At 33.1% G+C, this 13,823-nt stretch overlaps 1 protein-coding gene across 2 annotated transcripts in view; it reads left to right on the forward strand.

Moving 5' to 3' along the window:
* The window catches only part of WDR36 (WD repeat domain 36), a 38,155-nt gene that overhangs the window by 12,485 nt on the left and 11,847 nt on the right, over nucleotides 1-13,823 (forward strand). For both annotated transcript variants that reach the window (NM_139281.3, XM_047416729.1), the window contains exons 10-16: nucleotides 463-528; nucleotides 1,225-1,311; nucleotides 2,462-2,607; nucleotides 5,357-5,471; nucleotides 5,956-6,121; nucleotides 6,338-6,446; nucleotides 8,242-8,321. In NM_139281.3, the coding sequence (NP_644810.2) occupies nucleotides 463-528; nucleotides 1,225-1,311; nucleotides 2,462-2,607; nucleotides 5,357-5,471; nucleotides 5,956-6,121; nucleotides 6,338-6,446; nucleotides 8,242-8,321 (769 nt within the window). The remainder of the gene's footprint in view (nucleotides 1-462; nucleotides 529-1,224; nucleotides 1,312-2,461; nucleotides 2,608-5,356; nucleotides 5,472-5,955; nucleotides 6,122-6,337; nucleotides 6,447-8,241; nucleotides 8,322-13,823) is intronic.

Here is a 13,823-nt window from a genome sequence, read left to right on the forward strand (position 1 = left end):
ATACTATTAGTTTATTTCAGCAAGTATTGAGATGTGGGTGCCCAGTATGAGGTTTGATATTTACACATACTTAGATTCACATATCTCTTTGAGTGACTTAGAAGTCTGGGTAAAACTAAGAGTCCTTTTTGTCTACTTGAGAAGCACTATAGATGTTATTATCTATGCTTAATGTGTCCTTCTATTTACTAATCCTCAGAGACAGAATGGTTAGATTCTAAAAATTCTGTTAGTCTGCTGAAAATTATTAGTACCTCATTTTCATTTTATCCTTTGTTCTTACTAAATGGCATTCTATAAAAAGTTGAATATTTTAATGAAGTAGTTGCAATCTGGTTTTCCCTTTAAAGTGTCCCAAACTGTAACTTCAAGATTTTCAAATTGAATTTTATAAAATTTGTGATTCACATAGTCCCTTGTTTTAATGAAGCTTGATTAGGGATTTTCTGTGTATATCAACAGGTCAAGATGGAACTCTTCAGTCATTTTCCACGGTACATGAAAAATTCAATAAGAGCTTGGGACATGGTAGGTCCTCTACAAGACAAAATAAGCTGGTCACGAAAGAAACATTTCAACATTCTATGAAACAACTGGAGGAAGTTTCATCAATGCATTTTATTTTTTCTTGGATGAACTAGATAAACATGTATGGAAGAGGTAGTAAGATTCCTAGCATCAAAGTTGCTATAGAAGTGATTGAGGTTCTGCTATAAGGTTATTGAAAAAAGTTAGACATCTTGGGTGGTAAAAACATACTGCTGCCACCCAAAAGATGTTCATGGCCTCACTTGAGCTATCTGTAGAGTGCACAGTTTTTAAAATGGAAGGTAGCTTAGAGAAAGCATCAAAGTAAGTGGCATCCAATATTTTTGCTTTAAAGCAATCATTTATTCTCTTTCCCTTTTCATGGTTTCCAGCCTTTGAAAGATTTTGTTTATTAAACAACAAAATCTTACTTGGTTTTATGATTACTAATTTTTAAGTTACTATCTTATACTGTTCATGCATGTATATAAATTTTAAGATTATTTTTAACAATATCTAAAATAACTTTTCTTAGAATTAAAAAATAACAGTGGTAATAACATCTTTGTTTTGTTTCTGACTTAAATGGGAATATCTTGTACTTTATAGTTACAAGACTGATAGCTTTTCTTTTATATACACTTTTTATTAAGAAGGATTCATAGCTATGTATGTTCCCCTTTCCCCCATCCTTAGGATTAATAAATAAAAAGAGAGTTAAACGTAAAGGACTTCAGAATACCATGTCAGTGAGACTTCCACCCATCACAAAGTTTGCAGCAGGTAAGTAACTTCAAACTGTGTTTTGAGAAGTTCTCCTTTGTCATTTATTTCCTACTGTATGCTGTTTTATTTTCTGTTTTAATAAATGCTTTTACAAATATTAATAAGCATTCAGAAGGTAACCCCAGGTGCATGCTGGTCTTGTGTGAAGACTAAAAATGAGTTATTTTAAATGTGAACTTCTTATCTATTAACATCAGGCTTTGCTCTTCTGTATAACAGGTATTAATAATATTTGATTTTATAGCCTTTTTATTCTGTCATATGCCTGGTATAATGAAAGTCACTAATGTAAAAAGAACTGGAACAGCAGAGTATGAGAACATAGAGCTCTGACTAATTAAGATCTAAGAATACTGAGGTCTTAGTATACTATGTCATTTGACCTGTGCCACTTTCAAAGAAGTGATTTTAAGAAAAATATAGATAATGGGTTTGTTGCGTGAAATCTATCATGGGAAATTACTGTAGAGGCACCATTTCTATTTGAAAGTTGTTATTATGACCACCTTTCTGTTTTCTCAGAGCTTGAGTCATGTTTCTAAAAACATTTGAATCACATCACACATCTGCTTAAAATTTTTTAGTGGCTTCTTAACACCTTTAGAGTGGAATCTCATCTCCTTAACATGACTTTCAAGACCCTTTGTAGTGTGGTCCTGATTGCCTTGCCCTACTCCTATCCCTCCCAAGAAGATACTACACTTACTTGCTGTCCTCCGTTTTGTTCATTTTTTTCTTGTGCATGTTATCCCCCCCAGGTAATTTCTACTTGTTCTACTACTCCATCCAGAGAGCCATTTACTTTCCCCAAATCTCCTGAGTGGTCTTATAAGACACTGTCATACTTTATTGTAATTTCTTCTGATTAGAATCTCTTGTTAGGTATGTTAATTAGCTTGATTTAGCCGTTCCACAATGTATACATATCACAACGTTATGTTCTATGCCATAAACACATAAATACACACATTTTTTATTTGTCAATTAAAAAATAATCTCTTGTTAGATTGGAAACATATTGCTATCAGATATTACCTGTTTGTTTTACCATTGTATCCCTAGTGTCTGAAATATTGGATGCCTAATAAGTAATAAATGAATAACAGAATGAAAAGTAATTTGATTTATGATTTTCATTACGTTTTAGAGGAAGCTCGTGAAAGTGACTGGGATGGTATCATTGCTTGCCATCAAGGTAAGCTATCTTGCTCAACCTGGAATTATCAGAAATCTACAATAGGCGCTTACTTTCTCAAGCCAAAAGAGTTGAAGAAAGATGACATAACTGCAACAGTAAGTGAGCTTGTTTATAAGAGTATCTTCTCTTTAAAACTTTCCTATGGAAATCTTGTTATACTCAAGGTTTCTCATCATAATATTGACTGAAAAAACGTAGTTTAACATTTTAAAGCATTGCATAACCCAAAGCCACAAAAATTTGCTCCTGTGACTTCTAAGAGTTTTCTAGTTTTAGCTCTTATATTTAGATTTATTCTCTCTGAATTGACTTTTGTGTATGGTATGATAAAGGGGTCCAAATTCATTTTTTTACATGTGGATATCCAGTTGTCCCAGCACTATTTGTTCAAAAGACTATTCTTTCTCCATTGAAAGATCTTGTTTCCTCTGCTGAAAGTCATTTGACCATGTATGTAAGAGTTTATTTCTGGACTCTGAATTCTCTTCCATTGATCTGTATGTCTGTTCTTATACCAGTACCACACTGTCTTGATTTTGATAGCTTTGTGGTAAGTTTTGAAATCAGGAAGTGTGACTTCTCCAGGTTTTTTGTTCTTTTTTCAAGATTGTTTTGGCTCTTCTGGTCCCTTGCATTTCCGTATGGATTTTAGAATGAGCTTATCAATTTCTGCAAAAAAAAGCAGCTATGATTTTGATAGGGATTTCATTTTGATTTTATAGATCAGTTTGAGTGTTGTCTCTGATCTATGAACATGGGGTGTTTTTCCATTTGTTTAGATCTTCCTTAATTTTTCAACAATATTCTGTAGTTGTTTGTATATAAGTCTTACACTTCTTTGGGTACATTTTTCCTAGTATTCTTTCTAATGTTACTGAAGTAGAGTTTTTTTGTTTTGTTTTGTTTTTGTTTTGTTTTGTTTTGTTTTTTTATTTTGGATTGTTCATTGAGAGTGTATCAAAATGCAGTTGATTTTTGCATTATTGATCTCATATCTTGCAACCTTGCTGAACTTATTAGTTCTAATAGTTTTTAATAGATGCCTCTGCTTTTGAAAATGCTTATTAAAAGTGTAACTCAACATTTGACCCTATTTTATACAAATTGCATTGTAAGTTTGTATATTCTATTCTCTGTAGTATGAAAATCCAGTCTTAAGCTTTTATATAATTTTCTAAACCGTAAAGATTCTATCTTACGCTCCCGTAGGGACATTTACCTACATAGTTTTGAATAATGGTTGTAATAGTAGTGGTAATTATAATCACAGGTAACATTTTCTGTGTGATTACTTTGTTCCAGGCTTTCTGTCTGGCATGGATTATTTCATATTTTCCTTACAACAGTCCTACAGCATGGTACATTGGTTAGCTGCTTTTTATGGACAGTAAAACAGGCTTTATGAGCAACATGCCTAAGATCAATGAAGCGAGTAAGGGGCAGAGCTGGGATTTGAACCTAAGACAATTCATTCTAGAATCTATATTCTTATAGCCCATAGGGATCACTTATAGAACATTTAGTATGTATGTATACTATGATATTTAGCTGGAGTTGAGTCATTTTTCTGACAGTCTCAGCTATCTGGAGCAAAGCTAGTAACCAATAAGTAATAAGCAAAAATACGTATAGAGAGCCTGTGCACTAAAGTACAATTTGTTACTCAAAGATAACATTCACGGTTTATTTATTTTTGCTTTGTTTGGCTTAGATAATACATTAGAATGAATAAATTAGAAGAAGAGAATGCCAGGAGCAGGCCGACTAAAAACAATAACTCCCCTAAAAAAATGTAAAGCAGGACAATGTAGGGCCTGTATTACTTGCAGGTTATAGCATACAAGCTCCTTTAGTTTCTTGATTGTATAACTATACAACATAGCATAAACATTTATGAATTTTTCAAAATAGGTCAGCTTAATGTTTGTGTTTCATTTAGGAAGATAAAATGCTTTTTAACCATAGTAATTTCCCATCTAAAATACTTTTTTTAAAAGAAATCTTTATCTAGAAAAATGTATGTATGTAAAACATATTTATGTGATGCAATGTAAATATGTCGTGACAAAGTGGTATGTCAAACTTTATGTTGCTTTGCTTAGTTAAATAAACCTTCATTAAATACTTTCTACTTAGTTTGTATAAGTCATCTGTTTAGATGTAAATTGAATTATCTCTTGGTGGATGACATCTGACTGACACACATTGGCAATCAGTTATTTCTCCAGCAGTGACCAAATATGTAGCCAGTCTCATGTTTTCAGTATAGAAAAAATATATTGACATAATATTGATATTTTAAGTATTAAAATGAGATTATATTATAGAACCTGCTTATAAACCAAATGTTTTCTCTGTAGTGTCTTATATATTTCCTTCCTAATATGTCATAATTAAAATATTTTGGGCTTTTGCTTGGCCATTCTAACTAATGGTATGTTTTTGGTTTTATGTCAGCTGTGGAAGCAGTTACAAAAGGCAAGACAAAAAGAAATTAGGCGATGGAATGTTTTAACTTTGGCTTTGTTAATAAATTAAAAATTGAAGGCTAGTCCCATATATAGTTCTCTTGACTTTGTACATTTAAATTGAGTTAACCTTAGTTATGTTTTGTTTTCTTAGATAGTAATTCTTCATACTTTTTAAAGAATGGAGATAGAATCTAGCATATATTCTTATACACCCAAATATAATTACTTTATGTTAAAAAAACTAATGAAGCAATTCATTTATTGTTCTTTTGTTAAATAAAAAGGAACAAGTAGATAAAAAAATGCTTTGGAAAGCATAAAGTGCAATAAAAATGTTAGTTATTTTGTCATTTGTGGGTTTTTTTTCTTAAAGGCAGTGGATATAACTTCTTGTGGAAACTTTGCTGTAATTGGCCTCTCATCAGGAACTGTAGATGTATATAACATGCAGTCTGGCATACATCGAGGAAGTTTTGGCAAGGATCAAGGTAGAGAATTTTTTTCCTTGTTTTTTATTAATGTAGATAGATACAAAACTAGTAGTGAAAGCTGGTATGTATAATCTTTAAGTGCTGGGCATTTTGCTAAAGTTGAAGATGGGTTATAATCAACCCTATATGGCAGATACTGCAATTGTATCATAAGGACCATGTTGAAAGAGAAAAGTCATGGGTACTTAAAGAGTTACGTGGATATTATACAGATTAATTTTTTTTCTTCTCTCCTTTAAGCAGAAAATCTTAACAAACTTTTCAAACCTATGTTGTATCGATCTGATTTCTGTTTTTTTACTCGAACAGTATTAATAATTAAGAATCTTCTTACACCCCTAAAATCCAGATTAATTTCAAGATTTTAAAGGATATTTAAGTGGCACCTTACATATTTGAATGAAGGAATCACTGTGTGTATTGTTCAGAGAGAAACACTGCCAATTCTGATTTTTTTTTTCTTTTGACATCTACCTTACAGCTCACAAGGGATCTGTTAGAGGTGTCGCAGTGGATGGATTAAACCAGTTGACAGTTACAACTGGTAGTGAAGGATTACTCAAATTCTGGAACTTTAAAAACAAAATTTTAATCCATTCTGTGAGCCTCAGTTCATCTCCAAATATCATGTTGCTACATAGGGACAGGTAAACTTTTAATGATAATGGATTTTCTCTTTGATTCTTTTGGTAAAAGTCATAAAGTCACAATTTACCAAGTGGGAAAAATCAGACTCTTTAATAAAGAACAACATTTGGCTTAATTTCCCCCAAAGTGTACTTGATTTAACAAAATTCAAGTGGAGGTGAGATTTTAGTTCAAGGGTTTTTTGTTTATTAAAACTGGTGCATTTATCTTGCTAGTGGCATTCTGGGACTCGCCTTGGATGACTTCTCCATTAGTGTTCTGGACATAGAAACTAGGAAGATTGTCAGAGAGTTTTCTGGACACCAAGGCCAAATAAATGACATGGTAAAACAAACTCTAACTAATAAAACTTGACTCATTTCTACTTTTGTTTGGGTGTGTTATCCTTTAATAGCCTTAAAATCATTATATGAGGTGGTTATCAATTTTAATTTGCAGGCTATTTTTCAAAGATTTTAAAGGAAAATTTTGAATTAAAAGTTTAATATTTTTCAGGGAGTTGATGCGATCAAATTAAAGTATAAGTTTTAGAACTCATCTTTTTTTTCATTAACTCTAAACAAGGCCAAAGTATACTTTAGAGAATGAATGATCCATTGGTATATATGTCATTCTTAACTTAATATTAAAATAGGCTGGGAGAACTCATTTCTGATTTACTATGTATGGAATGAATTAATAGTAGAAGACCATTTCCCTGGAATATCTGGTATCTGGTTTATTTTAGTTTAGTGCTATTTCTAGAGTTTACATATCTTAACTCTGAAAGGGTTTAATTAATAAAAATGTGCTTAAGTTTACTATTATGTTCTTATAATGGGATATATGATATGGAAAGAAGTAAACTAGTTTAAATAGCATATTTCATTAAAAAGAACTTTTAAAATAAATTTGTCACTTGAGGACCATATTAAGTGTATATTATCATCTTTCATCAATTGCAGATACCTTGATTTGCTTGAAAATAGAAAAAGTAAAATAAAAATAAAATCTTAATACTTAGTGACGAACCCAACAGCTGCATTTACTAGTTCTCACACCAAAAATCAGAATTTACTCCTTTCCTTCAAAATTGAAGAAAAAAAACATGGTCAGGACATTGTGTTCTGCAGATAGGAGGCTGGCAAAATTATACATCAGCAGAATTTGTTTTGACAGCATCTGTAGAAATGAGGGTGGGATTGGGTTAATTGTGCTGAAATGGCACTTTTGAAAACATCTGTCAGTGTCAAGTTGCTCTTCCTATTTCTTTTTCAAACCTTACTTTCAACTTGTATATCTCGAGTTTCCCTGCTCAGTAATAAGTTATTCCGGTTAGTCAAATCTGTGAGCATTTATAACATGACTTTACCTCTCAGAATCATTCTTTCCCATCCTTTACTATCTGTACCACCCTTCTGTAAATTGATCTATCTATAACTTGAGATTTGAGTTCCCATTGTATTACTGCAGCCTGAGGAACAAATCAACATTTACGTATCCCAGTATCATCTACTAATTTAAACTGATGGATGAACAGTCTACTACAACTGTAAACTTTAAAGTTTTTCCTTTTGGGTCATCTTTCACCTGTGATCTGGTTTGTGCCTCACAACCCTTAGGTACTACAGGCAGAGAGATCTATTATTTATCCATTTTCATAGCTAGAAAAAATAATGGGTGGCATAAGTAGTTTATTTAAATTTATTTTGAAAATCTGATTATTATAGTTTGTTTAGAAATAAAGCATTATTAAAAGAGAAAAGATTTTTAACTTAAGCTTCAAGAAAAGTAAGCCCTTATCACACACATAAACATTGTCTATAAATAAATAGAAGATTGTGATTTGAAAATTAATGCAGTACACTTTTTTAACTTTTAATAATTCATTTAAAAGTCTAATCTTTATCCAGATTCCAAATCAGTGGTATTTAGGAAGTGGTATTTTCTTTTATATAAAATAAGGCAGCCTGAATGTTAGTCAAATTAATTTTTTTATGAAGCCTGCATTATCTTTTCATTTATTACATTCTTTAAGGTGTTAACTATATATACATACACACATACATACAAATATATTCATATATATTTATATATAAATAATATATATATATATATATTTTTTTTTTTTAATTTAAAGGCTTTTAGTCCTGATGGTCGTTGGTTAATAAGTGCTGCGATGGATTGCTCTATTAGGACTTGGGACCTTCCTTCTGGGTGGTAAGTTTATATTTCTAATTCCCTAACCTCTATAAGATTTCTAAGTTATTTTTTTCACATGTGACTTTTACCGATAGTTAATGGGTTATATGCTTTTTCAATGTGACTATATTTGGAGATTTTTCTGACATGACTATATTGTATCCTTGGAGTGTTTTTGATAACTAAACAGCAGGTAGTAGTGTCATGAAACATAATAGAAAAATGAAATCTCTCTTAGGTTTTCTCATCCTGCAAAATTGAGATACAGAAGCGAGATGCCTAAACCTTAAGAAAGCTCATTTGACCTTTTTGATACTCCAAAATAAAGCTCAGACTTAAGGATGGCAAACTTTTGAGTTTTTTTAGTTCATGCTGAATTTAGTTAAAAGGTCAAACCCCCTAACTTTTCCTTTTTGTATGTCTCTTCTGCTTCTCTGACATAATTCTTAAAAGAAGGCATTTTAGATAGTCTTAGTGCATTTTCTGTTGCTTATAACAGAATATTGAAACTTGGTTATTTCTAAAGAAAAGGAGTTTATTTCTTACACTTTGGGGGATTGAGAAGCCCCAGGTCAAAGGGCCATATCTGGTGAGAGCCTTCTTGCTGGTGGAGACTCTGAAGAGTCCCAAGGTGGTATGGAGAATCACAGAGTAAGGGGACTGAGCGTGATAATGTAATAGCTTGAGTCTGTCTTTCTCTTCTTATAAAGCCACCAGTTTCCCTTTCATGATAATCCCTTAATCCATGAATGGGTTAATCCATTAATGAGGACAGAGTCCTCATGATCCAATCACCTCTTAAAGGCACTCCCTCTCAATACCATCACATTGGGGATTAAGTTTAAACATGAGTTTTGGAGGGGACATTCTAACTATATCTTAAAGTGGTGAAAATGTGTGTCTTCGGATTTGGTTAAAACGTAACAAATGTTCAGAAATCTGTTTCATGGGTTGAAATTTGCTGCTAATCCAGGGCTTTAAAGAGAAAGTGGTATGAACAGAGGAGACATACAGAATGTGTCGGCTTTGTTGTTAAAAATTAAGTAGGTATAGATACCATTTAAAATCATCTCATTTAACATAGGATTGCTTAGATGAGTATGAAGAAAGGAAGAATTGTGGGAATAGCAAAACATCTAATTTAACAGTAACATACCATTAGAGAAAGATAGGTGAGAAAAATGAGAAGGAAGGTGGTACTTTTTAATCTAAAATATTCCCAAATTAAGCTCTGTTCACTTCCTCTTCCTACTCAGGAATTGGATAAGCTCATACATGAAAACAGTTTGACCTTTAGGAAGGAAAAACCCTGATGTCCTCAGTTCCCTTCGAGTTCGAAACAGGCCTGAGGCATACCTACCCATCTTGCATATACACTGGATTTGTAGTAAGCACAGCTAACGATTGTCACTAGTGGGTCCAGCTCTAATAATCAGGGACCTTTGTCCACAGGTTTGTCTCTTTCACTTAAAATAGAGTGAAGCAAAATCGAATTTATTGACTGTATCCTCCTCAGGCTTCAGAAAGTTCACTTAAAGTTGGTATTTCTTCAATTAAAAAAACATTTTGTTAAAGACACTATTAGAAATATTAGTGGTCTGTCACTTCTTGGGCTGTTGCTATTTTCTAAAAGTTAATGTTATATAATTTGAATTGCTTTAAAATAAGAAAGTTGTATAAATAGTAGAGTTGGCATAGTGCCTTTTTCATTTTCCTGTTTAATAGTTTTAGTTTATATTAGTGAGAGAGATAGATTATTCAGTAGTAGTAAATTGGCAATGTATTATAAGTGGTAAATTCGTCTTTGGAATGAAAAAATTAGGATCTGAAAGTAGCATTCAAAGCCACTAACCTTTGACTCAGCATTAGCCTTTTGCTGAATTTCTTATATCAGTAAGAAGTTGAACAGATTCAAATCTGATAGATTTTCAGCTCTAGTATCTTTATTTTTAGGTGAACAGGCAATTTTAAGTGAATAGAGAGGCATGAAGCTGGGTGTAGCACAAGAGCAAGAAGTGACCACATCGAATTGTTAAAAGAAAATGTAATAAAATGTACATTGATTGAAGAAAAGTATATTTTTATTAAAGAAAAAAGTTTTGGTTAAAATTTGAAGTGGACCAAATGAGAGAGCTTGAATAACTATCCAACAACTGCTGCTGCTTAATTGCAACTAAGCTAAGATTTACAATGTGCTGCTAGGCACTGTTTATGCTTTTATTTTTCATATCCTAACAAGTTGTAGGTACTATTACTGTTATTAGTCCCATTTCAAAAATGAGGAAGTGGAGGCTATTAGAGAAATTAAGTGATTTGCCCAAGGTGACTTAGTTTATAAATGACAGAGCGCAAAATCAGCACAGGAGAAAGAAATAGCTTTCTTAACACTTATGTTATCATCTTTGCTCAGACTGTGTCTTGTTTTAAGTATGAACTGATTTGCTTGGAAAAAAAAAACATAATTAGTATGACAACCTTTGGAAATTCCTAGTTCTTCTTTCAATTAAATAATTTGAATAATGAAAACAAATTACATAGCCTGGAAAGTGAAGCTATCTATGAGTAAACCCTTGAGTGTATTAACATACAGGTATATCCATCTGGAATTGTGCCTATCTGAAACAAATTGCATGGGTATTAAAGTTTCCTGTAAAGTTTTTTTAAAGTGGTGAAACATTTTTTATGTTTGTAAAATTTTCAGAGGAGCAAAGTTGAAATTTTTTATCTAAAATTATCATTCCTCTGCCACTACCACCACCTTTTATGTCTGGTTGTTTTTGATCTAATAGAAATTCAGATTGAATTCTTTCTTATTTTTTTTTTCTGAGACCAAGTCTTGCTCTGTCGCCCAGGCTAGAGTACAGTGGTACGATCTCGGCTCAGTGCAACCACCGTCTCCCAGGTTCAAGCAATTCTCCTGCCTCAGCTTCCCGAGCAGCTGGGACCACAGGCGTGTGCCACCATGCCTGGCTAATTTTTTTTTTTTGTATTTTTAATGGAGCTGGGGTTTCACCATGTGGCCAGGCTGATCTCAAACTCCTGACCTCAAGTGATCCACCCACCTCAGCCTCCCAAAGTGCTGGGATTACAGCCATGAGCCACGGTGCCCAGCCAGATTGAGTTCTTTGAGGGGTGAGAAATATATAAAATTAAATAATCTTAATAGAATTTTTCATTTGTTCTGTCTCACCCCACCCCTACTTCCTGAGGAGAATTACATGAGAATAATTGGAATAGAACATTGTTTTCAATTTCTCACTGAGGCAGAAACATCCCCTTCTTCCTTAAAGATTTCTGTGGAAGGTGATTTTAGCACTTTGGAAATAGAACATATGGAAGCAGTCTCCATTTGCTCAGAATAATAATCAGAAACAACCTTCTGAATTGTTATGCAGGGCTCTGATCTTGTAAATCTGATCTCTTAGAATAGGAATTGTTTTAATATTATTTCAGAAAAAATTGTAAGGTACCTTGGGACTTACTTTTTTAAGATTACCATGAAACTGTATGGTAGTTTTAGGTCTGGGATGAGCCTGTGCATTTATGTTTCATGAACTAATGTGGCAGTGTAGAATATGCTGTGTATGTGGAAACCACCTTCCTCAATTTGGTGGTTTTATATAATGGAAGTCCCATCTACCCACACACCACAGCTGTGGAAATGAAGTTACACAATGAAGTTGACAAGATAATTATAGTTTGAAGTAAAATAAGTTTGCTCAAGCAGTAAGCTTTTTAACAGATAGTACCTAAACATGTTAGGAAGTTTTACCCTTCACGTATGTAAACTTTTGATGAGTAATATTAAGACAAAGGAAATACCTTAAGATTTGAAATTGCCGTGTTTTAGGTTTAATCTTTATATGTGTTAGGATAATATCTTCATCTCTGGATTGTTTGGATTAAATGACTTAACATAAATAATTTAATAGTGTATGGCATAGAATAAGTATTTAGCAAATGTTTTCTTTTCCCCAATTCTCTTGATTCCCAATAAAAGCCATTCTTGTGGGCTTTCAAAACAGACTTGAACAGAAATCAGACAGGTTATTGCTCCCTTCCCCATAATGGACAATTAAACAGCAGTCCTTTTCCTGAACACACTTTGATGTGTGTGTGTTTGTTTCCAGTGCTTCTAATTGTTGTCTTTTCTTTCCATCTTGCATTCATTGTTTAAGGTTTACATTTTTATTGGCTCTTTTAGCAAATTGAGAGAGGCGTTTTACCATGGGCAAGCAACTTAATGCCTCCCACTGGACAGTCTTCATTTACATTTGAGCTGCTCACAGTGTGTGTCCCATGAATCACTGATGTAGGCATACCCTCAGTGTGTGTAAGCTGTTGCCCTGTTTTTGTGTTTTAGTTTCAGTAGTGGCTTTACTAGAATTTATATTGGCTAACAATATAAATTGGGTAGAACTGCTTGGGTAAAAATCCTGACCCAGTTGCTTTCTACCTTGAGCGAGTTTTCAAATCTTACTGGGCCTCAGTTTTCTGGACTGATCCGCCTTAATAGGGTTTGTGAAGATTCGATTAGTTAGCACGCTCAAGTGCTGAGGATACTTCCTCACACAGAACACTAAAAAAGTGTTAATCTTGTTCTTGAAATAATTTGTATTAATGTACATCCGGAACTTGAGTCATTTGTGTGTACCTTCCTATGGATAATATATTGGCTTCAGAAAAGCTGTAATTAAAAACCAGTATACTCTGCTTAAAGCTATTCTCGCTTTTAGCCAGCCTAAGGGGTCTTTCAGCAGGATTCAGATGAGTGTAGGCCTTTCTCTTTGCTTCTTAAATCTACCTCTTTTCACTTCCTGCTACCACCATCCTAGTTATCTTTGTTGATTGTTAGATGATTACTACCATACTGTCACCATTCTCTCTGTTCAAATATATTCTGCATTCTGATGGCAAGTTTTTATGGAAGTGAAGATTATGCCACTATCTCCTCTTAAGTGGTTAATGACTTTCCATCGATTATAAGATTAACACAAACTCAGGTGTTTGATATGTAAGACATTGTATGCAGCCTTATGCTTATGCTTAATGGTCCTACAAAACTGCACTCCTCACTCTACACAATTGTATTTTCCCTTGCCTTATCCACCACATTTCTCTTAGCCAGGAAATGCTTTCTCTACTAGACACCAATATCCATTGAAATCCTGTCCATTTGTAAAGCTCCTCTCAAACATAAGTGTTCTCTGTGAAGCCCATTCTGAGTCTTCTACCTGGTTTGTGGTTACTCTCCCTTTCACCCCAACTTGTAAATCCCTTCAGCAGTTTAAAGCTATGGGACTAGTTTCCATAAATTGCTTTATGGTTCTTCTCTAGAGACTGAATTTTCATGGTGTTTCATGTATAGCATGATTACTTATTTGAAAAATAGGTACAGTTGCTCAAAAGCTTTTTTTAAATTACTATTCTTATTTACATCCATTTTGTTATATTACTTTCTCCTTTTGCCTAAGCTTTTCATTAGTTTCACTGAAGTAACAGAAATACAGAATACTGATA

The sequence above is a fragment of the Homo sapiens genome, chromosome 5 (assembly GCF_000001405.40).
Source record: "Homo sapiens chromosome 5, GRCh38.p14 Primary Assembly".
NCBI classification, from domain to species: domain Eukaryota; kingdom Metazoa; phylum Chordata; class Mammalia; order Primates; family Hominidae; genus Homo; species Homo sapiens.